This window comes from Homo sapiens, chromosome 14 (assembly GCF_000001405.40).
Source record: "Homo sapiens chromosome 14, GRCh38.p14 Primary Assembly".
Lineage (NCBI taxonomy): Eukaryota > Metazoa > Chordata > Mammalia > Primates > Hominidae > Homo > Homo sapiens.
Window position 1 is genome coordinate 19,803,182 of NC_000014.9, and position 27,583 is coordinate 19,830,764.

The window sequence follows — 27,583 nt, forward strand, 5'->3', positions numbered from 1 at the left end:
TATTTTGCTGTGCAGAAGCTTTTTAGGTTAATTAGTTCACATTTATTAATTTTTGCTTTTGTCATCTTTGTCATGAAATCTTTGTCAGGGGCGATGCTGAGAATGGAATTTCCTAGGTTATCTTCCAGGGTTTTTATAGTTTTGGGTTTCACATTTAAGTCTTTAATCCATGTTGGATTTATTTTCATATATGGTATAAGGGAGGGGTTCAGTTTCCATTTTTTGCATATGGCTGTCTAGTTATCTCAGCACCATTTATTGAATAGGGAGTGCTTTTCCCATTGCTTGTTTTTGTCAGCCTTGTTGAAGATTAGACGGTTTTTGTTTTTAGTTCTGCTTATGTGGTGAATCACATTTACTAATTTGCATATGTTGAACCAACCTTGTGTTCCAAGTATAAAGCCTACTTGATTGTGGTGGATTAGAGTTTTAATGTGCTGCTGGATTCAGTTTGCTAGTATTTTCTTTTTTTTGCTAGTTTTCTTTTTTTGTTGTATCTCTGCCAGGTTTTAGTATCAGAATGATGTTGGCCTCATAGAATAAATTAGGGAGGAGTCCTTCCTCCTCAAATTTTCAGAATAGTTTCAGAGGAAAGGTACTAGCTCTTCTTTATGCATCTGGTAGAACTCAGCTGTGAATTCCTGTGATCCTGGGCTTTTTCTGGTTGGTAGGCTTTTTATTACTAACACAATCTTGGAACTTGTTATTAGTCTGTTCAGGGTTTCAATTTCTTCCTAGTTCAATCTTAGGAGGTTGTATGTTTCTAATAATTTATTAATTTCTTCTAGTTTGTGTGCATAGAGTTGTTCATAGTAGTCTCTGAGGGTTTTTAAAAAATATTTCTTTGGGGTTGGTGGTAATGTTCCCTTTGTCATTTCTGACTGTGTTTATTTTTCTCTCTTCTCTTTTTTGCTTTATTAGTCTAGCCAATGCTCTATCAATCTGATGTGTTATTCTGAAGAAACAAAACCTGGATTTGTTAATCTTTTGTATGGGTTTTTGCATCTCAATTTCTTTCAGTTCAGCTCTGATTTCAGTTGTTTCCTTTATCTTGCTAGCTTTGGGACTGATTTGCTTTTGTTTCTCTAGTTTCTCTCGGTGTGATGTTAGGATGTTAATTTGAAATCTTTCCAATCTTCTGATGTAGTTTTTTCTTTAGTGATATAAACTTACCTCTTAATACTGCTTTATATGTGCCCCAGGGATTTTGATATGTAGTATGTTTGTTCTCATTAGTTTCAAAGAATTTCTTGACTTCTGCCTGAATTTCGTTGTTTACCCAAAAGTCATTCAGGAGAAGGTTGGTTAATTTTCACATATGCTTTTGATGTATTTTATTGTATTGATTTCAATGTTTATTGCATTGTAATCTGAGAAAGTGTGGTTTGTATGATTTTGGATTTTTTGAATTTGCTGAAAATTGTTTTATGATCGATTGTGTGGCTGATTTTAGAGTATGTGCCATATGCAGATGAGAAGAATGTATATTCTAATGTTCTTGGGTGGAGAGTACTGTAGATGTCTGTTAGGACCATTTTGTCAAATGTCGAGCTCAGTCCCGAATCTCTTTGTTCATTTTCTATCTCAATGCTCTAATACTGTCAGTGGGGTGTTGAAGTCTCCCAGTAGTATTGTGTGGTTATTAAAGTCTCTTCAAAGGTCTCTAAGAACTTCCTTTATAAGTCTGGGTACTTCTGTGTTGGATGTATATATTCTTAGGATTGTTAGTTCTTCTTGTTGAGTTTAACCCTTTACCTTCATGTAATACCCTTCTTTGTCTTTTTCGATTATTATTGGTTTATAGTCTATTTTGTCTGGAATTAGAATCAGACCATTTGCTTTTTTCTGTTTTCTTTTTGCTTGGTCTATTTTTTCTCCATCCCTTTATTTTGAGCCCCTGGATGTCATTGCATGTGAGATGGGTCTCTTGTAGAGAGAATACAGTTGGGTCTTGCTTCTTTATCCGACTTGCCACTCTATGCCTTTTAATTGAAGCATTTAACTCATTTACATTCAAGGTCATTCAAGGTTAGATTGTGTGTTTCCCAGCAATGATTCCTTACCCATAATAAATTACTGAAATGACAGACATAGAATTCAGGATCTGGATGTCATGGAAGCTCATTGAGATTCAGGACAAATTTGAAATCCAATCCATGGAATCCAGCAAAATGACAGAAGAGCTGAAAGACAAAATAACCACTTTAAGAAAGAACCAAAGTGAAACTCTAGAGTTAAAAATTCACTAGAAGAACTTCATAATACAGTTGGAAATATTAACAGCAAAATAGACCAAGCTAAGGAAAATATCTCTGAGCTCAAAGACCGGTTCTTTGAATTAACACTGTGAGACAAAAATAAAGCAAAAACAATTTTAAAAGTGAACAAAACTTCTGAGAAAGATTACATAAAGAGACCAAATCTACAACTCATTACCATTACTGAGAGAGAAGGACAGAGAATAAACAACTCGGAAAATAAATTCGAATATATAGTCCATGAAAATCTTCCTAATCTTGCTAGAGAGGATGATATGCAAATCCAAGAAATAGAGAGAACCCTGGCTAGATATCGTACGAGATGTACAAGGCACATAATCTTCAGATTCACCACAGTTAATGCAAAAGAAAAGGGATCTAGAAAGAAAGGTCAGGTTATGTACGAAGGGAACCCCATCAGGCTAGCAGCAGAACTTTCAGCAGAACCTTTATAAGCCAGAAAAAATTGGGGGCCTATTTTTAGTATTCTTAAAGAAAATAAATTCCAACCAAGAATTTCATATCCCACCCAAACTTAGCTTCATAAGTGAAGGAAAAATAAAATCCTTCTCAGAAAATAAAATGCCAAGGTAATACATTTCAACTTAGCTAGCCTTACAACAGGTCCTTAAGGGAGTGCTAAACATGTGAACAAAAGAACAGCATCTGCTGCCACAAAAACACGCTTAAGCACATAGCCCATAGACACTATGAAGCACTACACAGTCAAGTCTATAAAATATCCAGCTAACAGCATGATGACAGGATCAATATCTGACATATCAATATTAATCTTAAATGTAAGTTATCTAAATGCCCTACTTAAAAGGCATAGAGTGGTAAGTTGGATAAAAAGGCAAGACACCACTGTCTGTTGTCTTGAAGAGACCAATCTATATGTAATGAAACCCACAGGGTCAAAGTAAAGGGATGCAGAAAGATTTGTCATGTAAACAAAAAACAAACAAACAAAAATAGTAGGGGTCACTATTCTTATAGCATATGAAACAAGCCAACAACAATTACCAAGGACAAAGAAAGGCATTACATAATGATAAAGGGTTCAATTCAACAAGAAGACTTTATCCTAAATGTATATACACTGAACATTGGAGCACCCAGACTCATAAAACAAGTTTTTCTTGGCCTACCAAAAGACTTAGACAATCCTACAATAATACTGGGAGACTTCAATGCTCCACTGATGGTATCATTAAGGCAGAACACTAACAAAGAAATTCTGGACTTAAATTTGACACTTGACTAATTGGACCTAATAAACATCTACAGAACACTCCACCCAACAACCATGGAATATTCATTCTCATCTGCACATGGAACATATTGTAAGATCAACCACATGCTTGATCAGAAAGCAAGTCTCAATGCATTCAAAAACACTGAAATCATCCCAGGCACATTCTTGAACCACAGTGCAATAAAATTAGAAATAAACATCAAGAAGATCTCTCAAAAGTACACAAATTCATGGAAAGTAAACAACTTGCTCCTGAATAACTCATGGGTGCACACTGAAATTAGGCAAAAATCAAAAAAATTCTTTGAAATTAAAACAGGGACACAACTAACCAAAATCTCTGAAATGAAGCTAAAGCAGGAAATAAATATTTTTTAAATAAATAAGTAAATAAGATAAGAGGAAAGATTATAGCATTAAATACCTTCATCAAGAAGTTAGAAAAATCTGAATTTAATAATCCAACTTTGCACCTAAAGGAACTAGAAAAAAAAAAAGCTCAAAGCTAGCAGAATAACAGATATAACTACAAACAGAGAGAAACTTAATGAAATTGAGATGCAAAAATACGTACAAAAGGTCAGTGAAACCAATAATTGGTCCTTCAAAATAAAAATAAACAAAACTGGTAGATTGCTAGCTAGATTAACATAGAAAAAAAGCAGAAGACCCAAATGAGTACAATCAGAAATAAAAATGATGTTGCAACTGATCCCACAGAAATACAAAAGATACTCAAAGAATACTATAAGCAACTCTATGCATACAAATTAGAAAATCTAGAAGAAATGGATAAATTCATGGAAACACACAATCTCCCAAGATTGAATCCCTGGAAGAGATTGAAACCCTGATTAGACCAACATCAAGCTGTGAAACAGAATCAATAATAAAAAAAGCCTATGAACCAAAGTAAGTCCTGGGCCAGATAGATTCACAGCTGAATTCTACCAGATTTTAAAAAAAAGAACTCTACCAATTTTATTGAAACTATTCCAAAAAATTGAGGAGGAGGAGCTCCTCCCTAACTCATTCTATGAAGCCAGTATCATCCTGATACCAAAACCTGGCAGGGACAGAACAAAAAACAAATCATCAGGCCAATATCCCTGATGAATACAGATGCAAATATCATCAACAAAATGTTAGCTAATTGAATCCATTGGCACATCAAAAAGTTAACGCACTGTGATCAAGTAGGTACTATTCCTGAGATGTAAGGCTTATTCAATGTATGCAAATCAATAAATGTGATTCATCACATAAACATAATAAGAGACAAAAACCACATGATCATCTCAATAGATGCAGAAAAAGCTTTCAATAACATCCAACATCCCTTCATGATAAAAACCCTTAACAGACTAGATTTTGAAGGAATACACCTCAAAATAATAACAGCCATCTATGACAGACCCACAGCCAACATGATACTGAATGGCAAAAGCTGGAAGTATTCCCCTTAAGAACTGGAAAAGGACAAAGATGTACATTCTTACCACTCTTCTTCAATATAGGACTTGAAGTCCTAGCCATAGCAATTATGCAAAAGAAAGAAATAAAAGACATCCAAATAGAAAAATAAGAAGTCAAACTATTTCTATTCACTGATGATATAATTATATACTTAGAAAACCCTAACTTTCACAAAAAAGCAACTAGAACTGATATACAGTTTTAGGAAGGTTTCAGGACATGAAATCACTCTACAAAAATCAGTAGCATTTCCATACATCAATAATGTCCAGGCTGAGAGTGAAATCAAGGACACAATCCCATTTACAATAGCAACAAAGAAAATTAAATCCCTTGGAATACAGTTAACCAGAAAACTCTACAAAATTAATGGCAAAACACTGCTGACAGAAATCAGAGATGACAGAAATGAATGGAAAAAAATTCCATACTAATAGATTACAAGAATCAATGTTGTTAAAATGGCCACACTGCCCAAAGCAGTCTACAGTTTAATGGTATTTCTATCTCACTACCAACACCATTCTTCTCAGAATTAGAAAAAAGATCTAAAATTCATACAGAGCCAAAAAAGCCTGAATAGTCAAAACAATCCCATGCAAAATGTACCACATGAACATATGCACCTACTCTGTAACCCAGAAATATTGAAAAAAAAAAGTAAAAAAAATGAAACTAGAGGCATCACACTATTCAAACTATAAGGCCACTGTAACCAAAACAGCATGCTACTGGTACAGAAACAGACACATTGACCCATAGAACAGAATAGAAAACCCAGAAATAAATCCATGCACTTACAACCATCTGCTCTTCAACAAGGCTGACAGAAACAAGCAATGGAGAAAAGACTCTGTTTAGAAGCCCCTACTGAGGAAAGTTGTGGGCTTGAGTCTGTAGCCTAAGAACATTCAACCAAGCTAACTCTCAGGTCTCTCTATTCAATAAATGGTGCTGGGATAACTGGCTAGCCAGATACAAAAAAAAAAAATGAAACTTGACCCTTATTTTTCACCATATACAAAAATCAACTCAAAATCGATTAAAGATTTAAATTTAAGACCTCAGCCTATAAAAATCCTAGAAGAAAACCTAGGAAATACTCTTCTCAGCCACAGTCTTGGCAGAGAATTTTTGGCTGAGTCCTCAAAGGTAATTGCAACAAAAACCAGAGTTGACAAGTCGGGCCTAATTAAACAAAAGAGCTTCTGCACAGCAAAAGAAACTATCAATAGAGTAACCTACAGAATGGGAGAAAATATTCACAAGCTATGATTCCAAACAAAGGTCTAATATCCAGAAACTATAAGGAACTTAAACAAAGCAACAAACAAACGAACAAAAAATCCACTTAAAAATGGGCAAATAAGGCAATCCTAAGCAAAAAAGAACAAAGCTGGAGGCATCACATTACCCAACCTCAAACTATACTATAAGGCTACAGTAACCAAAACAGGATGGTACTGGTACAAAAACAGACACATAAACCAATGGAACATAATGAGAGGCCAGAAATAGTGCTGCACACCTATAACTATCTGAACTTTCACAAAGAGGATAAAAACAAGCAATAGGGAAAGGACTTTCTATTCAATAAATGGTGCTGGGATAATGGGCAAGCCACATGCAAAAGACTGAAATGTAACCCCTTCTTATACCATATACAAAAATCAATTCAACATGGATTGGAGAATTAAATGTAAAACCCCAAACTGTAAAAACCCCAGAAGATAACCTAGGAAATTCCATTCTCAAATAGGCCCTGGCTAAGATTTCATGGTGAAGACACCAGAAACATTGACCACAAAAAAACAGAAATTGACAAATGAGACCTAAGTAAACTAAAGAGCTTCTGCAGAGCAGAATGAACTGTCAACAGAGTCAACAGACAAGCTACAAAATGGGATAAAATATTTGCAAACTATGCGCCCAACAAAGGTCTAATATCCAGAATCTACAAGGAACTTAAATTATCGAGCAAAAAACAATCTCTTTAAAAATTGGGCAAAGGACATGAACAAATGCTTTTCAAAGACCTACATGCAGCCAAGAAGCATATGAAAAAATGTTCGACATCGCTAATCATTAGATAAATGCACATCAAAACCACAACGAGATACCAACTCACAGCAGTGAGAATGATTATTATTAAAAAGTCAAAAAATAACATGCTAGTGAGGTTTCAGAGAAGAGGGAACACTTATACACTGCTGGTGGGAATGTAAATTAGTTCAGCCATTGTGGAAAGCAGCATGGCAATTTCTCAAAGAACTTAAAAGGGAATTATCATTTAACCTAGCAATCTCATTATTGAGTACATATCCAAAGGAATATAAATCATTTTACCATAAAGACATATGCACACATATGTTCAACACAGTACTATTCTCAATAGCAAAGTTGCCATCAATGGTAAACTGTATAAAGAAAATGTGGTACATAGACACAATGGAATACTATGTAGCCATAAAAACAATGAGATCATGTCCTTTGCAAGAAAGAGATAAAAGGAAAAGAGTCAAAATTAATGAAATATAAAGTAGACAAACATTAGAAAAAATTTTAAAAGTCAGAAATTGGTATTTTGAAATGATTACCAAAATTGATAAACCCATAGTAGAATGATGAATTTTAAAAGAGAAACACACAAACTACCAATATTAAGAATAACAAGAGAAGCACTATTAGTCCTAAAGAAACTGAAGGGATAATAAGGGAATATAAAGAATGACAATATGACAAAACACATTCGCCAAAACTGGCACATCAAGATATACAAAATCTAAATAGGAATATATTTTAAAAGGAAATGAATGTAGAGCTGAAAACTTTATACTAAGAAAATTCCAGGTTCATATGGCTCAACCAGGGAGTTTTCTAAAATATGTAAGAAACGGGTAATGCCAATTGTATCTAAACTCATTCATAAAATAGAAGAAAGGATACCATTTCCCAACTTTCTTTATGAGCTCAGTATTACCCTGATACCAAAATCTGACACAGGATTTTGCATTGCAAGGATTTTGCATTACAAGGAAAGATGATTTCTCAAAAACATACACATATGATTTTATTTTATTTTTATTTTTTTGAGATGGAGTCTCACTCTGTCACCCAGGCTGGAGTGCAGTGGTGCGATCTCGGCTCACTGCAAGTTCTGCCTCCTGGGTTAATGCCATTCTCCTGCCTCAGCCTCCCAAATAGCTGATACTACAGGCGCCCACCACCACGCCTGGCTAATTTTTTGTATTTTTAGTAGAGATGGGGTTTCACCGTGTTAGCCAGGATGGTCTCAATCTCCTGACCTCGTGATCCGCCCTCCTAGGCCCCCCAAAGTGCTGGGACTATAGGCGTGAGCCACCCTGCCTGGCTACACATAAAATTTTAAAACAAAGTATTAGCAATCCGAACATGACAATACATAAAAAGTTGTGACCAGATGGGATTTATCCCAAAAACGATAGTTGGCTTAACATTTGAAAATCAATCAAGTTAATTGCTATATTCACTGAATGAAGGTGGAAAAATGATATGATCTCGCCAAGAGGCAGAAAATCATTTGTTTTAACATCCATTCATGTCTGTAAAAAATTCTAAGTAGATTGGAAATGAAAGGGAGCCTCTCCAGTCCAATAAAGGGCAATTATGAAAAACCTATAGCAACCATTATAACATATGATGAAATCTTGAATGCATGCCCCCTTAAGATTAGGAAGAATGCAAGTATACATGCTCTCACCACTTCTATTCAACATGTGCTGACCATTGAAAGAAAGTTGTTTTTTAAAGGTATTAATATTAGGAAGAAAAAAATAAAAATCTATTTATTCATAGAAGAAATATATGTGTAGAGCATACTATGGTATCTTTAAAGAACTAGAATTTACAAGGAAATTTATCAAGGGTTGCAGGATACAAGATCAACATTTAAAAACCAAATCTTGGTGAGAATGTGAAACAACTATTAACTCTGAAAAACGAAACAAAGTAAACTTAAATGTTATTATTCTTCTTCCACTGATTTTTTTATATAAAGTGTTAAGGGTATAAAAATATTAGAAGTCATGCCATAGAAGTAAAAAAAGAAAAGAAAATTCTCTTTGAATTTTCTGTTATTTTTTGACTTTTCTTTTTTTTTTTCTTTTCTTTTCTTTTCTTTTTTTTTTTTTTTGAGACAGAGTCTCGCTCTGTCGCCCAGGCTGGATCTCGACAGTGGCGCAATCTCGGCTCACTGCAAACTCCACCTCCCGAGTTCACGCCATTCTCCTGCCTCAGCCTCCCGAGTAGCTGGGACTACAGGCACCCGCCACCAAGCCGAGATAATTTTTTTGTTTGTTTGTTTGTTTGTTTGTTTTTTGTATTTTTCAGTAGAGACGAGGTTTCACCGTGTTAGCCAGAATGGTCTCGGTCTCCTGACTTCGTGATCCGCCCACCTCGGCCTCCCAAAGTGCTGGGATGACAGGCGTGAGCCACCGTGCCCAGCCATTTTTTGACTTTTTAATAATAGTCCTTCTGACTGGTGTGAGATGGTATCTCATTGTGGTTTTGATTTGCATTTCTCTAATGAATAGTCAAGCTGAGCATTTTTTTTCACGTGCTTATTGGCCGTAAACATGTCTTCTTTTAGGAAGTATCTGTTCATATAAAAAGTGGTAATATTTTTTGAGGAAAAAAATGAATAAATTCAGAGACAAACTCTTTTGTTGGATAAAAACAATATTATTGAATATATACATGTCAATGCATAAATTGAATATAATTTAATAAAATACCAGTAATACTTTTCATTGTAAAATTAATTCAAGATTATCTAGAGGAAAAAATCTATCCAAGGTGATAAAACTTTCCTAGAAGGGTTAAAAAGTCTCCATTTTGAGGACTATTTTAGATCTTCAGATTACTTTTATCTTATGAATTAGAGTGAACATTAAGAGGTGAGTAAGATCCTGGATTATATGCACAATTATGAAAAAAATCATATTTTTAAAAGTTTTGGTGGCAAGACTAACCTACTCCAAGATGGGGTTGTTATTCCACTTAAGAACGTATCTAACCTCATGTATTTTGCTTCCTTTCTCTATTTTCCTCTGTGCAGCTCTCTTTATCATGGTTTTCTTTTTGTGGTTATATGGATTTGTAGACTGTGCATTTATATGGAATGCCATGCGAGCTGTCACAGCCCAGGCAGTGGAGTGTGGTTGGCTTGTGGGTAGTAAGAAGAATTTACCAACAACTGTATAGATTTGAAAAGGAAAGTTGTATTAGCTGGAAAGAACGCTGCAGAGGAGTGCAGCAGGGCTTCTCAGCCAGAGAGGACTGAGTACACCACTGCAGTAGATTTTTCCTTAGGGTATTTATGGACCTTAAAGTGGGAGCTTAAGGGTAATTTTTACCATATTAGCCACATAGGTCATGGTAAACAATTACATTTATAGACATTTTGGTGCCTTGATGTCAGCAAGAGTTGCACAATGAGTTTAGAATACATGCATTCCAGAGATGTATAGAAATTCTAGTTACTCACAAATTTTTGGAAAAGAAATCTCATACCAGATGCCAGCTTTACATAATAGGGATGTCTAATTACTTCTGAATTCCTTGGATAAGGAATTTCGCCTCTGGATGGTCTTGCTCTCCTTGTGGACTAGTATCTCTCTGTTTCTTCACCTTTTTTTTTTTTTTAAGTCATACAACTATCTTTCCATTTATGTCTCTGCTAGTCTTCTTTTCCCTTTTCTCTTGATCTTTATTTTGATTATTGTAAATTTTTCTGTACTTCTCTCTCTCTCTTTTCTTCTTTCTTTCCTTTTTCTACTCTTACACTTTGTTTTTGAAATGTAAAATAAATTAGAACAAATATATTTGGTGATAAATTATGTTTATTACCCCCAAATCTGTGTTCTTATTTCACTTGTAAAGTGACCCATAAACTCAGTGTTTTCTCTAAAGCCAAAGAAAAGATTAAAATAATTTTAAAATAGAATTAATAAAATAAATTTGTATTTATTTTTTCTGACTCAATTAATTTTTAAAATTAATAATCTTTAATGGAAAAATGTTTTTCATCCTTGTTTTAGTTGAGCAGAGTGAAAGTGAACAAATTACAAATACCAAGATCATGATGCATCTTTTCATGCTATGTAGGAGGTCACCTTCCCTTTAGCAATTGTTCTATCCTATACCAAGAAACTATTTTCTCTAAGAATAATTATGCAACAGTATTCATGAGCTTTTTAATATTTCCTTTGCTAATGTCCTTATCACCGTCAACATCCTGCTACTGAGTAAGGTGCTTATCTCGCATGCAAAATTTAAAGGCGTGCCCAAAAACTCAATAGTAGAGATAAACATTTTAATCAATATTTTGAGAAATCAAAATTAATTTTAAAATTTGTGATAAACAAAGTACCAAATTTTAAGCAAAGGCAGGATCAGCAACTGCCATGTTGAGCCATGTTGGAACCTGAGGCAACAGGAAAAATAAATAATATTGGTGAAGTCTTTTTTAAAAATTATACTTTAAGTTCTGGGATACATGTGTAGAATATGCAGGTTTGTTACATAGGTAAATATGTGCCATGGTGGCTTGCTGCACCCATCAACCTGTCACCTACATTAGGTATTTCTCCTAATGCTATCCTTCCCCTAGCCCCCCACCCTGTGACAGGCCCCCATGTGGGATATTCCCCTCGCTGTTTCCCTGTGTTCTCATTGTTCAACTCCCACTTAAGAGTGAGAACATGTGGTGTTTGGTTTTCTGTTCCTGTGTTAGTTTGCTGAGAATGATGGTTTCCAGCTTCATCCATGTCCCTGCAAATGACATGAACTCATCCTGTTTTATGGCTGCATAGTATTCCATAATGTATATGTGACCCATTTTCTTTATCCAGTCTATGATTGATGGGCATTTGGGTTGGTTCCAAGTCTTTGCTATTGTGAACAGTGCCGCAGTAAACATACATGTGCATGTGTCTTTATAGTAGAATGATTTATAATTCTTTGGGTATATACCCAGTAATGGGATTGCTGGGTCAAATGGTATTTCTGGTTCTACATCCTTGAGGAATCGCTACACTGTCTTCCACAATGGTTGAACTAATTTACCCTTCCACCAACAGTGTAAAAGCGTTCCTATTTCTCCACATCCTCTCCAGCATCTGTTGTTTCCTGACCTTTTAATGATCACCATTCTAACTGGCATGAGATGGTATCTCATTGTGGTTTTGATTTGCATTTCTCTAATGACCAGTGATGATGAGCTTTTTTTTCATATGTTTGTTGGCTGCATAAATGTCTTCTTTTGAGAAGTGTCTGTTCATATCCTTTGCTCACTTTTTGATGGGGTTGTTTGTTTTTTTCTTGTAAATTTGTTTAAGTTCCCTGTAGATGCTGGATATTAGCCCTTTGTCAGATGGATAGATTGCAAAAATTTCCTCCCATTCTGTAGGTTGACTGTCCACTCTGATGAGAGGTTTTTTTTTGTTTTTTTTTTTTTTGTTTTTTTTCTGTGCAGAAGCTCTTCAGTTTAATTAGATCTCATTTGTCAATTTTGGATTTTGTTGCCATTGCTTTTGGTGTTTTAGTCATGAAGTCTTTGCCCATGCCTATGTCCTGAATGGTATTGGCTAGGTTTTCTTTTAGGGTTTTTATGGTTTTAGGTTTTCCGTTTAAGCCTTTAGTCCATCTTGAGTTAATTTTGTATAAGGTGTAAGGAAGGGGTTCAGTTTCAGTTTTCTACATATGTCTAAGCCAGTTTTCATAACACCATTTATTAAATAGGGAATCCTTTTCCCATTGCTTGCTTTTGTCAGGCTTGTTAAAGATCAGATGGTTGTAGACGTGTGGCATTATTTCTAAGGCCTCTTTCCTGTTCCATTGGTCTATAGATCTGTTTTGGTACCAGTACTATGCTGTTTTGGTTACTGCGGCCTTGTAGTATAGTGTGAAGTCAGGTAGTGTGATGCCTCCAGATTTGTTCTTTTTGCTTAGGATTGTCTTGGCTATACAGGCTCTTTTTTTGTTCCATATGAAATTTAAAGTCGTTTTTTCTAATTCTGTGAAGAAAGTCAGTGGTAGCTTGATGGGGATAGCATTGAATCTGTAAATTACTTTGGGCAATATGGCCATTTTCATGATATTGATTCTTCCTATCCATGAGCACAGAATGTTTTTCCATTCATTTGTGTCCTCTCTTTTTCCTTGAGCGGTGGTTTGTAATTCTCCTTGAAGAGGTCCTTCATATCCCTTGTTAGTTGTATTCCTAGGTATTTTATTCTCTTTGTAGCAATTGTGAATGGGAGTTAACTCATGATTTGGCTGTTTATCTATTAATGGTGTATAGGAATGTTTGTAATTTTTGCACATTGATTTTGTATCCCGAGACTTTGCTGAAGTTGCTTATCAGCTGAAGGAGATTTTGGGCTAAGAAGATGGGATTTTCTAAATATACAATCATGTCATCTGCAAACTTTGACAATTTACCTCCCTCTCTTCCTGTTTGAATACGCTTTATTTCTTTCTCTTCCCTGATTGCCCTGGCCAGAACTTCCAATACTGTGTTGAATAAGGATGGTGAGAAAGGGCATCCTTGTCTTGTGCTGGTTTTCAAAGAGAATGCTTCCAGTTTTTGCCCATTCGGTATGATATTGGCTGTGGGTGTGTCATAAATAGCTCTTATTATTTTCAGATACGTTCCATCAATACTTAGTTTATTTAGAGTTTTTAGCTTGAAGGGGTGAATTTTATCGAAGGCCTTTTCTGCATCTATTGAGATAATGATGTGGTGTTTTTCACTGGTTCTGTTTATGTGATGGATTATGTTTACTGATTGGGTATGTTGAACCAGCCTTGCATCCCAGGGATGAAGCTGAGTTGATCATGGTGGATAAGCTTTTTGATGTGCTGCTGGATTCGGTTTGCCAGTATTTTATTGAGGATTTTTGCATCGATGTTCATCAGGGATATTGATCTGAAATTTTCTTTTTTATGTGTGTCTCTGCCAGGTTTTGGTATCAGGATGATGCTGGCCTCATAAAATGAGTTAGGGAGGAGTCCCTCTTTTTCTATTGTTTGTAATAGTTTCTGAAGGAATGGTACCAGCTCCTCTTTGTACCTCTGGTAGAATTTGGCTGTGAATCTGTCTGGTCCTGGACTTTTTTTGGTTGGTAGGCTATTAATTACTGCCTCGATTTCAAAACTTGTTATTTGTCTATTCAGGGATTTGACTTCTTCCTGGTTCAGTCTTGGGAGGGTGTATGTGCCCAGGAATTTATCCATTTCTTGTAGATTTTCTAGTTTATTTGTGTAGAGGTGTTTGTAGTATTCTCTGATGGTAATTTGTAATTCTGTGGGATCAGTGGTGATACCCCTTTATCATTTTCTATTGTGTCTATTTGATTCTTCTTTCTTTTCTTCATTAGTCTGGTTAGTGGTCTATTTATTTTGTTAATGTTTTCAAAAAACCAGCTCCTGGATTCACTGATTTTTTGAAGGGTTTTTTGTGTCTCTATCTCCTTCAGTTCTGCTCTGATCTTAGTTATTTCTTGTCTTCTGCTAGCTTTTGAATTTGTCTGCTCTTACTTCTCTAGTTCTTTTAATTGTAATGTTAGGGTGTCAATTTTAGATCTTTCCTGCTTTAAGCTGTTGGCATTTAGTGCTATAAATTTTCCTCTAAACACTGCATTAGCTGTGTCCCAGAGATTCTGGTACATTGTGTCTTTGTTCTCATTGGTTTCAAAGAACTTATTTATTTCTGCCTAAATTTCGTTATTTACCCAGTAGTCATTCAGGAGCAGGTTGTTCAGTTTCCATGTGTTGTGCGATTTTGAGTGAGTTTCTTAATCCTGAGTTCTAATTTGATTGCACTGTGGTCTGAGAGACTATTTGTTATGATTTCTGTTCTTTTGCATTTGCTGAGGAGTGCTTTACTTCCAAGTATGTGGTCAATTTTATAATAAGTGTGATGTGGTGCTGAGAAGAATATATATTCTGTTGATTTGGGGTGGAGAGTTTTGTAGATGTCTATTAGGTCTGCTTGGTCCAGAGATGAGTTCAAGTCCTGAATATCCTTGTTAATTTTCATTGATCTGTCTAATATTGACAGTGGGGTGTTAAAATCTCCCACTATTATTGTGTGGGAATGTAAGTCTCTTTGTATGTCTCTAAGGACTTGCTTTATGAATATGAGTGCTCCTGTATTAGGTGCATACATATTTGGGATAGTTAGCTTTTCTTGTTGCATTGATCCCTTTACCATTATGTAATGCCCTTCTTTGTCTTTTTTGATCTTTGTTGGTTTAAAGTCTGTTTTATCAGAGACTAGGATTGCAACCGCTGCTTTTTTTTGGCTTTCAATATGCTTGGTAAATTTTCCTCCATCCCTTCATTTTGAGCCTATGTGTGTCTTTGCACGTGAGATGGGTCTCCTGAATACAGCACACCAATGGGTCTTGAGTCTCTATCCAATTTACCAGTCTGTGTATTCTAACTGGGGACTTAACCCATTTACATTTAAGGTTAACATTGTTATGTGTGAATTTGATCCTGTAATTATGATGTTATCTGGTTATTTTGCCTGTTGGTTAATGCAGTTTCTTCATAGCTTCAATGGTCTTTACAATTTGGTATGTTTTTGCAGTGGCTGGTACCAGTTTTTCTTTCCATATTTAGTGCTTCCTTCTGGAGCTCTTGTAAGGCAGGCCTGGTGGTGACAAAAATCTGTTAGTATTTTCTTATCTGTAAAGGATTTTCTTTCTCCTTCGCTTATGAAGCTTAGTTTGGCTGGATATTAAATTCTGGTTTGAAAATTCTTTTCTTTAAGAATGTTGAATATTGGCCCCCACTTCTTTCTGGCTTGTAGGGTTTCTGCAGAGAGATCCACTGTTAGTCTGATGGGCTTCCCTTTGTGGGTAACTACTTGACCTTTCTTTCTGGCTGACCTTAACATTTTTTCCTTCATTTCAACCTTGGTGAATCTGACAATTATGTTTCTTGGGGTTGCTCTTCTCGGGGAGTATCTTTGTGGTGTTCTCTGTATTTCCTGAATTTTAATGTTGGCCTGTCTTGCTAGGTTGGGGAAGTTCTCCTGGATAATATCCTGAAGAGTGTTTTCCAACTTGGTTCTATTCTCCCCGTCACTTTCAGGTACACCAATCAAACGTAGGTTTGGTCTTTTCACATAGTCCCATATTTCTTGGAGGATTTGTTCGTTCCTTTTCAATCTTTTTTCTCCAATCTTGTCGTCACGCTTTATTTCATTAAGTTGATCTTCAATCCCTGGTATCCTTTCTTCCGCTCCATCGATTTGGCTATTGATACTTGCGTATGCTTCATGAAGTTCTTGTGCTGTGTTTTTCAGCTCCATCAGGTTATTTATGTTCTTTTCTAAAGTGGTTATTCTAGTTATCAATTCCTCTAACCTTTTTCAAGGTTCTTAGCTTCCTTGCATTGGGTTAGAACATGCTCCTTTAGCTCAGAGGAGTTTGTTACTACCCTTCTTTGGAAGCCTACTTCTGTCAACTTGTCAAACTCATTCTCCATCCAGTTTTGTTCCCTTGCTGGCAAGGAGTTGTGATCCTTTGGAGAAGAGGTGTTCTGGTTTTTGGAATTTTCAGCCTTTTTGCTCTGGTTTTTCCTCATCTTTATGGACCTATCTAACTTTGTTCTTTGATGTTGGTGACCTTCAGTTGGGGTTTTTGGGTGGACATCCTTTTTGTTGATGCTGATGCTATTTCTTTCTGTTTGTTAGTTTTCCTTCTAACAGTCAGGCCCCTCTGCTGCAGGTCTGCTGGAGTTTGCTGGAAGTCCACTCCAGACCCTGTTTTCCTGGGTGTCATCAGCAAATGCTGCAGAACAGCAAAGATTACTGCCTGTTCCTTCTTCTGGAAGCTTTGTCCCAGAGGGGCACCAGCCAGATGCCAGCTGGAGATCTCCTGTATGAGGTGTCTGTTGACCCCTGCTAGGAGGTGTCTCCCAGTCAGGAGGCACAGGCATCAGGGAGCCACTTGAGGAGGCAGTCTGTCCCTTAGCAGAGTTCAAGCGCTTTGCTGGGAGATCTGCTGGATCTCCTGGATTCATTGATTTTTTGAAGAGTTTTTTGTGTCTCTATCTCCTTCAGTTCTGCTCTGATCTTAGTTATTTCTTGTCTTCTGCTAGCTTTTGAATTTGTCTGCTCTTAATTCTCTAGTTCTTTTCATTGTAATGTCAGAGGGTCGATTTTAGATCTTTCCTGCTTTAAGCTGTTGGCATTTAGTGCTATAAATTTTCCTCTAAACACTGCATTAGCTGTGTGGGAGATCTGCTGCTCCCTTCAGAGATGGCAGGCAGGAACATTTAAGTCTGCTGAAGCTGTGCCCACAGCCGCCCTTCCCCCCAGGTGCTCTGTCCCAGGGAGATGGGACTTTTATCTATAAGCCCCTGACTGGGGACGCTGCCTTTCTTTCAGAGATACCCTGCCCAGAGAGGAGAAATCTAGAGAAGCAGTCTGGCTATAGCTGCTTTGCTGGGTTGTGGGGGGCTCTGCCCAGTTCAAACTTCCTGGTGGCTTTATTTACACTGTGAAGGGAAAAGTGCCTACTCAAGCCTCAGTAATGGCAGATGCCCCTACCCCAACCAAGCTCGAGTGTCCCAGGTGAACTTCAGAGTGCTGTGCTGGCAGCAAGAATTTCAAGCCAGTGGATCTTAGCTTGCTGGGCTCCATGGGGGTGGGATCCACTGAGATAGACCACTTGAATCCCTGGCTTCAGCCCCATTTCCAGGGGAGTGAATAGTTCTATCTTGCTGGCATTCCAGGTGCCACTGGGGTATGAAAAAAAACTCCTGCATCTACCTCAGTGTCTGCCCAAATGGCTGCCTAGTTTTGTGCTTGAAACCCAAGGCCCTGGTGGTGTAGGCACCTGAGGGAATCTCCTGGTCTGCAGGTTGCAAAAACCATGGGAAAAGCCTAGTATCTGAATCAGAATGCACCTTTCCTCTCGGCACAGTCTCTCACGGCTTCCCTTGGCTGGGGAGGGAGTTCCCTGAACCCTTCCACTTCCCCGGTGATGTGATGCCCCACCCTGCTTTGGCTTACCCTCCGTGGGCTGCACCCACTGTCTAACCAGTCCCAATGAGATGAGCTGGGTACCTCAGTTGGAAATGCAGAAATCTTCTGTGAGTAACCTTCTGCGTTGGTCTTGCTGGGAGTTGCAGACCAGAGTTGCTCTTATTTGGCCATCTTGCCAGCCACCGTCTAAAGTTTGGTGAAGCCTTTAATTGAAAAATTTGAGTCTAGTCATATATATATATATGTATATATGTATTTTTTGCCTCATCCTACCCCTGCTTGCTTTCGTGGTACAAAGCAATAATCTCTCATCATTTATTTAATATTTTTCTCCTTTTGAATTTTATTATAACACGTAAATTTACTTCTCTCAAACTTCTATTTATTTCTGGACTAAAAAATATGCTTCTGAATAGGGTTCTGTCTTTCTCACGATAGAATTTTTGTTTTAGAACTAGAAAGTAAGTCAGCTTGGTATTATGTAGCACATTTAAAAAAATTTAGTTCTTGCAAACTCTGGTATTTTTCTTTGCCTTATTTATTTGATAACTAATATAGCTTGCCTAATAACTCCCTTTGGAAGCATTCAGTGGGTCATGGTAGTCTCAAATCTCAAAAGAACTTTCTCCATTACAATAGAGAGATTTTAAAATCTAAGGTTCCTCATGTGGCAATGAACATTTATGAACAATGGCAAAACTGGTTAGTCTTACTAGGAGAGGGAGGATGCCTACTTTGTGAGAGTAACATAAGATCCCTGAAGGCTTAAATTTCTGGAGCTCTTCATATATATACAAGAAACAAGAAGAAAGGGACAATAGAAAAAATATTGCAACTATTTTACTTGTTCACCTGATATCTTAGATTGCAGTTGAATAGACAGGTCAGAGTATTAGCAGGAATAGCCACAGGCTAAGGTCTAAATTCAGCAGTGGGGCACTATGTACTCTCTCTCCTAATAGATCTCCATCTGCATTTAATGCTTGGGATTACTTTACTGGCAAACAAAACCTTTAATTCTATTATAATTTTCCATAGACTCAAGAGAATTGACATCTGGTGTTAAAAACCAAAAATCATACAAATGACTGATATGTATCATTTTCCTTATTAAATATGGAAGAAAAGGGAGGAGGATGCAGAAATGGTAGGCTAAAAGCTCCAGAGAAAAACTTAACAGATTTTATGATTTTGCAGAAGATAAGTCCTTGACCTCTTCATTTTCACATTCAGCAGGTATGAAAGTTTCTTCTGTTGCATGTGGTTATATCATTCATTCTTAGAATTTTGACAGAAAGTTGTAGAACCAAAAAAAAGCTTGATATACAAACCACTAGCTGTACTGGCAATTTTACATGAAGGCATTACTGACCCTCCACAACTTCTCTCTATTAACTTTTCAGATTTATGCAACTACCATTATCCCAGGGGTTACTCAAAGACATTGACAAAAGATCTAGCAGCATTCTGTCCATTCAATATAACTACTTTTAACATCTAAATATTTTCAGGATTAACTTTGGTTGAAGTGTACTTGAATGAATTACATATTAATACCATCATCACCTCATTTGATCCTCATGTTACCCCCATCAGACCCAAAGAGTCAATACATTAAACTATTTGGTAGATGACAACTCAGGCTTCTGAAAGCTAAGTGACTTTCCCAGAATCACACAATAAGTTAATTGCTCATTCAAGGCATGAGAGTCAGATAAATGATTCCCAAACCAGGGATCCTTTTATGTTATTACATTGCCTAAAAAACTGGCATTCAAATGGAATTTAGAGGCCATTTAATCTGGCCATCTCATTTGATTGATGAATAAATTTTCTGGCTAAGAATCTATACATTTGTTTAGTGCTTTATATACTCATCAGCAGCATCAGCATAAATTAAATTTTCTATTATGTTCTCAGCCTGATTCACACTTTTTAGAAAATATAAAACTTATTATTTCATACTCAAATAATTTACTAACCTTGCATCATTAGTGAGCTATTACTACTAATATTACATCCCTATTTTTGAAATTTGTATTCAATATATTTATTTCATTAGGATGCTACTAATGAAATTAACTTCTTTTTTTTAAAAAAAAGGTGAATCATCTCATTTTTATCAGGTTCACTTACAAGTATGAAGTAGTTGATAAGTGACTCAGCGTTGGCCAACTGCAAGAATACCACTTAAAAGTAAATGGTTATTACTGAAGAGTGAATTATATATTTTCATTTTGTAGACTTAATATTTAAAATGGAAGATGGTGGGAAGCACACACATTTCTCACTCTTGTTGGGAAAGAAAATGACAATAAGATTTTCTGGTTTTTGTTTTGTTTTGTTTTTAGATGTATTAGCAAGACAGGTGTGGGGTAGAATGGAGTAGCCATGAACATAGACGAAAAGTGGAGAGAGTGAAAACATATCAGAGTGAAAAAACATAGATAAATGTAAGGGAGAAGAAAGAAAAAATAATAAAGAACAATATTTAAAGAGAACAAAATAAATAGAGCCAGAAAGAAACAGAGAAGGGGAAAAGAACAGGCAACAAATTAACAGGGAAAAGAAATCACAACCAGAAAAAAAAAAAGAAAATAAACTGCTTATTGATGAATAAAGAAAGAGAGAAAAAGAAAAATAAGGAAGGAGGTTGAGTAAGCACATAGGATCTCTAAACACTTGGCTCCAGGAGCTCATCTGACCACACTCAGACTCCAGGCATGCACACACAGAGTTGCCTGGAGATGTTTCTGTGTCTCCACCCTGCAAATGTGGTGAACCCTTCTCCTTCATCTTCCCTATTTCTGTAGTGTGTCATCATGGCCAGAAACTGATCAATGCACGAATTAGCTGAAATGGCAAGAAGGATTAGAGATACAGTGAGGAGGGTATGGTACAGACTTTTGACAGAACTTTCTCTACTAATTTGCCTAAAATAGAACACTTTACTCTGCTGATGCCATCATATATGGATTTTTTTTTTGGCAGAAACTTATTTTATTTTGCTTAGAGGAATGCTCATCTGATTAGACTCTGCGTCTATTCCAACCACCATTTAGAGAAGGTAGAGATAATTGAAAGATGGAAATGGGACAGGGAAGAAAGTTCATCAAGAAGTCAAGTAGTACAGAATCCCATCTGTTAAGAAACAGTAGAAAAATAACAGTGAGGCTGGGACACAGGCAGAATGGAAGAGCTTATAACCTTCAATTTCAAAGTCCTTCAGAAATCCTCAAATGTCTCAGGGATATTGTTAAATGCTAACACATCAAGAAATACCTCACTGTATGTTAGCATGTGGGATACATAAAACACATGAGTAAGTACAGTTGACCCCAGAAAAACATGGGTTTGAACCACACAGGTCCACTTATATGTGGATTTTCTTCCACCTCTGCCACCCCTGACACAGAAAAACTAACCCTTCCTTTTCCTTCTCCTCCTCAGCCTACTCAGTGGGAAGACAACAACGATATGAACTTTATGATGATGCATTTCCACTTAATGAACAGTATTTATATCTTCCTTTCCTTATGATTTTGTTATATTTTATTTTCTGTAGCTTAGTTTATTGTAGGATTATAGTATATAATACATAAAACATAAAAATATTTGTTATTCAACTGTCTATGTTACCAGCAAAACTTCAGATCAACAATAATCATTAGAAGCTAAGTTTTTAGGGAATCAAGGTATGTGCTAATTTTTTATTGCACAGGGGGTCTGCCCCCTTAACTCCTGCATTGTTCAAGCGTCGACTGTAGAAGGGGCTCTTGATTTAAGGAAATTTTTATATAGGCAGATAGTAGAATAAATGTTGAGACAAATGGCTGGCAAAGGGGGAAAGGTTAAGACATGAGCAGAAAAGCTCATTTGAAGGAACTACAAAATATTTTTTCCTATTACAATTTTGTGTGTGTTTGTATGTATTTGTGTGCATACGTGTGTGTTCATGTGGTATTTGCATATGTATATATGATGATGTGTCTAAGTATGACTTTCATAAATTCCACATGTGGCTGCCAGTAACACCCAGAAATTTCTGTATTAACCACTCTATTCCATTCTAGGGATACATAAAGCAGATAGTTTTAATGCTTCTTAAAATACGTACCCTAAGATGACACTATATAGATGTGCTGTCTGTCTTTTGGTGTTTGTTTGCTTGTTTGTTTTGATTTTCTATTTCTCTCTTCTTTCTTCCCTCATCCTATATCTTCTTGTCTTTCTTTTCTAGGTACTGTTGCAGTAGCATTTTCTGTCAAAGAAATATTTTCCCTTCCTTCCGCACCCCATGTGCTAGAGCACTTATTTATTTATTTATTTATTTATTTATTTATTTATTTATTTATTTTGAGACGGAGTCTCGCTCTGTCGCCCAGGCTGGAGTGCAGTGGCGCGATCTCGGCTCACTGAAAGCTCTGCCTCCCGGGTTCACACCATTCTCCTGCCTCAGCCTCCTGAGTAGCTGGGACTACAGGCAACCACCACCACGTCCAGCTAATTTTTTTGTATTTTTTTAGTAGAGATAGGGTTTCACCGTGTTAGCCAAGATGTTCTCGATCTCCTGAGCTCGTGATCCACCCACCTAGGCCTCCCAAAGTGCTGGGATTACAGGCATGAGTCATCGTGCCCGGCCGCTAGAGCACTTATTTAAAACAAATACACTGTTTAGTTAAATCATATTAAGAATATCCTTTTATATTACAGTTTGTATTTTGTTGTAGGCCAGTAATTTTCAAACTTAAAAAATCTATTCCCCTAAGACATTTTTTGAATATATAACCTTAAATGTATGCATATTTATTTATAAAGTATATATAAACCATTGTACTATGTTATCCATTATAAATATTAAAAAGTGAATTTAGAAAACAACGAAATGTAGTGATACATATAAAATGTTATACACCGACTAAATATAGATAAATTACTATGTTCTTTCTATACTTCAGTGGATTATCATGTGCACCTTCTGGAATGAGTATACCCCATGAAAACAATCTGAATTTTAAATATGAATTTTCTTCACAATGCACATTGTTTTTCTTTTTATTTAAACAAGGTTGAACTTACAAATCAAAGCAATATGGGAGTGATTTTAGACTAACAATATTATTTTTAGTTATCCAAATGCACAAAAAGAACATTCATTCATTGAAGCTGTGATTAAAAAATTCTTTATCTATTTAAACTGAAGAGTATACACTTGCATTATCCTACTACTTATCAAGCAGAGCAAAAAATAAAACTCACTCTAAACTTAAGTAATATAACTACAGGTTATTTCTCATCTTTGAAATGGAAGAATAACACTACAGTATCTTTATGGCTACTTACAGTGTATCTATGCTATGACTTTATGAGTTGAGATAATGATATTTTAAAGTTTTATACTTGCAAATTTTATATTGTAGCATATTGTTTGTTAAAAGGCTGTATCTTGGGTGTCACACTGGGAACAGAGAAAGAAATGTGTTGTGAGTTTATTAATATTTGAAACTCAAAAAGTGCTAAATAAGCTGCATGCAGGTGTGGAGTGGCCACAGGAGTGGTGCTCAAACAGAGTTACAGCTGGAGCACTGTGCCTGTGTTAGGTCAAAAGTGGAGCTATAGCTTGGGATTCTCGTGAACAGTCTGGGAAAAGAGTATACAAGGATATCAGACCAAAAGGAGTATAATAAGAAGTAAATTAGATGATAAGACAGAGGGTAAGGAAGAGAGTTACCAGCTAGGAACTGGGAATTACACAGGAATTGAGGGAAGAAAATGTCTAGGAAAATTTTGGGGTGGTGTGGACAAGGAGAAAAAGGGTCTAATCCCAAGAAAAGAGCTAACCCTCAAGCATAGTATATCCACAAAAACTCAAAGACCTTCAGATTTGAAGTTAGGTTGTGTCTCCATTAGGAAACTTCCATGATTTAAGAATGTAGGAATCCCAACGTGGAGGATACCAGACCCCTAACATGGAAAATGATTCTGTAGAAGCACATGGTTGAATGGGAATAAAACTGTAGCTTTGAGAACCATATTGTGTTTTCATTTTTCATTTTAAATTTGGAGAAATTAAGGTAATGGAGTTTCCCCAGAATAGGAGAGGGATGGGAAATGTTGTTTTTAGCTGAAGTACTGCATGTGCCAAATATTTTTTAGCTGTATAACTAGTATCTAGTTGGAAGACATAGTAATAACAATTAATTCTGCTTCTTAATGTACTGCAGGCCAGGGAAATGGAAAGCGAGAACAGAACAGTGATAAGAGAATTCATCCTCCTTGGTCTGACCCAGTCTCAAGATATTCAGCTCCTGGTCTTTGTGCTAGTTTTAATATTCTACTTCATCATCCTCCCTGGAAATTTTCTCATTATTTTCACCATAAAGTCAGACCCTGGGCTCACAGCCCCCCTCTATTTCTTTCTGGGCAACTTGGCCTTCCTGGATGCATCCTACTCCTTCATTGTGGCTCCCCGGATGTTGGTGGACTTCCTCTCTGCGAAGAAGATAATCTCCTACAGAGGCTGCATCACTCAGCTCTTTTTCTTGCACTTCCTTGGAGGAGGGGAGGGATTACTCCTTGTTGTGATGGCCTTTGACCGCTACATCGCCATCTGCCGGCCTCTGCACTATCCTACTGTCATGAACCCTAGAACCTGCTATGCAATGATGTTGGCTCTGTGGCTTGGGGGTTTTGTCCACTCCATTATCCAGGTGGTCCTCATCCTCCGCTTGCCTTTTTGTGGCCCAAACCAGCTGGACAACTTCTTCTGTGATGTCCCACAGGTCATCAAGCTGGCCTGCACCGACACATTTGTGGTGGAGCTTCTGATGGTCTTCAACAGTGGCCTGATGACACTCCTGTGCTTTCTGGGGCTTCTGGCCTCCTATGCAGTCATTCTTTGTCGCATACGAGGGTCTTCTTCTGAGGCAAAAAACAAGGCCATGTCCACGTGCATCACCCATATCATTGTTATATTCTTCATGTTTGGACCTGGCATCTTCATCTACACGCGCCCCTTCAGGGCTTTCCCAGCTGACAAGGTGGTTTCTCTCTTCCACACAGTGATTTTTCCTTTGTTGAATCCTGTCATTTATACCCTTCGCAACCAGGAAGTGAAAGCTTCCATGAAAAAGGTGTTTAATAAGCACATAGCCTGAAAAAGGGCGCAAAAAAAAAAAGAATAAAAATAGACTGTAGAATTTTATCTGAAATTGATTTGTTTATTTCCAAGTACTGCAATCACTGAGTACCTCCCATTTGTCAGGACTATTCTGGGAACTGAAAAAAGAAATTACTGAGGCAGATAAGGTCCATCTGCTCTCCAAGAGATACAACCTAGTAAAAATAGACCACCATTAAGGTAGAAAATAAACAGCATAGTTTCAGGAAGAGATACTGCTCTGTAAAAACTAAAAAGAAAAGTGAAATGATAAATTGTGACTCTGGATTGGGAGTAACCAATTTGTGTTTAATAATCAAAAAAGACCTTGAAGAGCTGACGTTTTGGATGATATCTGGATAAACTGAAGAAGGCAAACATGCAAACATTTGTGGTTATAGTAATCTAGACGGAGGGCACAGGTAGTGCAAAAACTCAAAGATGATGATGAACTTGGTATATTTGAAGAATACAATAAAGTCCATGTTACCCGGAATATAGTAATTTAATATGAAAATGATTAAAGTTGGAGATACTGGTAGTGTCAAAAACATACGGTCTACATAGTAAATATGAGTTTTCATTTTATTACAATTACAATAAGAAGCCATTCTGTGGCTTTAAGCAAAAGAGTGATTCCTCTACTGAAGGGTCATAAACAACTTAGCACTGTAAACTCAAGATTCTATGCGGATATCAAAGACTTGAAAAATATCATTAAGAGGAAAATATTATATTTGTAAGTGCACTTTGAAAGATATTAAACTACCAATTTTTCTTACATAAATAAGCAGAGAGTGGCAAAAGAAAGCTGGTTACTTTTACTGAAAAAGATCACAAAAACATTTTACTTTTTTTTTCTAGAGCTTCATGATTACTCCTAGCAAATTTTTATGACTTTTAGCTGTATGTTTGACCTTATTGCCAATTGATTTCACTCTAAGTTTAATAACAACAGTCTTTTGGTAGAGCAATCAGGATTTTGTGTCAGAGACAAGAAACCATTCTAGCTATTTTAAACAAAACATCATTTAATATCGAGAGTTAGGTGTTCACAAAATCACTGGAAAGTCTAAAAGAGAAGACTATAGGCTGGACGTCCAGAGATGCCTTACAGACTAACACAGGTGACCAATGTTGTCAGGGAAGTTGTTCTTGCTACAATCTTAGCCATCTGTTTGTCTGAAAAACACTACAATTTTAGCCATGTGCCTGGGATCAAGTTGATGATCTGGAATCACTTTGGACCTAACAAATCGCCCCTAGTATAACAGAAGCCTCTCCTACTGCATCCCTTTAACTAGCTGACTATATATTCAAATCTCAAATGAGTACATTAAATGGGCAGCATCCAAAACATCTGGAACCCCAAATGCAAGGGGGTCAAAAATTGAGTTTTAAAATATTTTATTTTTGATAATCGCCAAAGTTTATACTTAGGAATATAAATTTTGTACATGGTAAAAATATTCAGACTATAGAAAAAGTGGTCTGAATCTTCAAATAATCCTTCTCTATTCTCACTCTGTTTATTGCGTTGCTTCCTGTTTTAGTGAGAAAGGTAGCAGGTGAGAATTCCTTAATCTCCCATCACTACCACTATACAACCTGCATCTGTGATTAAGTTTCCTTTAACTTCTCCTGAGACTGAGTGACCTGATCCTGCTCCTACAGAAGTAAACCCTTCCACCTGTGCACCAGATTCCATCCCCCTCCTCTCTACTAAAGGCAATTACTCTGGTAACTCTCCTTTCCCTCACCTATAACATGAACTTTGTCCTCCCTATTGGGTGTAACCTTTAGCGTGTAACCACATTTCTTCCCTCCTAAATAAAACCTTCTTGCCACCTTTTCCCCTGTCCATGTCACTTCATGAGTCTTTGTGTCTCCACATGAATTTTAGGATTTTTAAAAATTTCTTTAAAAAATGATGTTGGGATTTTCACAGAGATTGCATTGAATCTATAGATTGCTTCAGGTAGTGTGGATATTTTAACAATATTAATTGTTCTATTCCATTAACATAGAAAGTCTTTCCATTTATTTGCATCTGCTTTAATTTCTTTCATCAATATTTTACAGTTTAAGTGTACAAGTCTTTCACCTCCTTGTTTAAGTTTACTCCTAAATATTTTATTTTTTGGTTCTAATGGAAATGAGATTAATTTCTTAATTTCCCTTTTAGATAGTTCTTTTTTATTGTATAGAATTGAAATGATTTCTTTTGTAGATTTTTAAATTTATAAAAATTTAATTGACAAATAAAGGTCAAATATATTCAAGGTATATGAAATGATAATTTGATATGCATATACATTGTATAATGATTACCACAATCAAATTAACACATTAATCACCATCCGTGTTGTACATTAGTTACCAAGAATGTG

The 27,583-nt window shown here is 36.4% G+C and overlaps 1 protein-coding gene across 1 annotated transcript; it reads left to right on the plus strand.

Moving 5' to 3' along the window:
- On the plus strand, positions 589-27,072 carry OR4N2 (olfactory receptor family 4 subfamily N member 2). The gene is made up of 2 exons (NM_001004723.3): positions 589-663; positions 24,259-27,072. Exon 2 carries the CDS (start codon positions 24,268-24,270, stop codon positions 25,189-25,191), a length of 924 nt encoding a protein of 307 aa, NP_001004723.1. The 5' UTR covers positions 589-663; positions 24,259-24,267; the 3' UTR covers positions 25,192-27,072.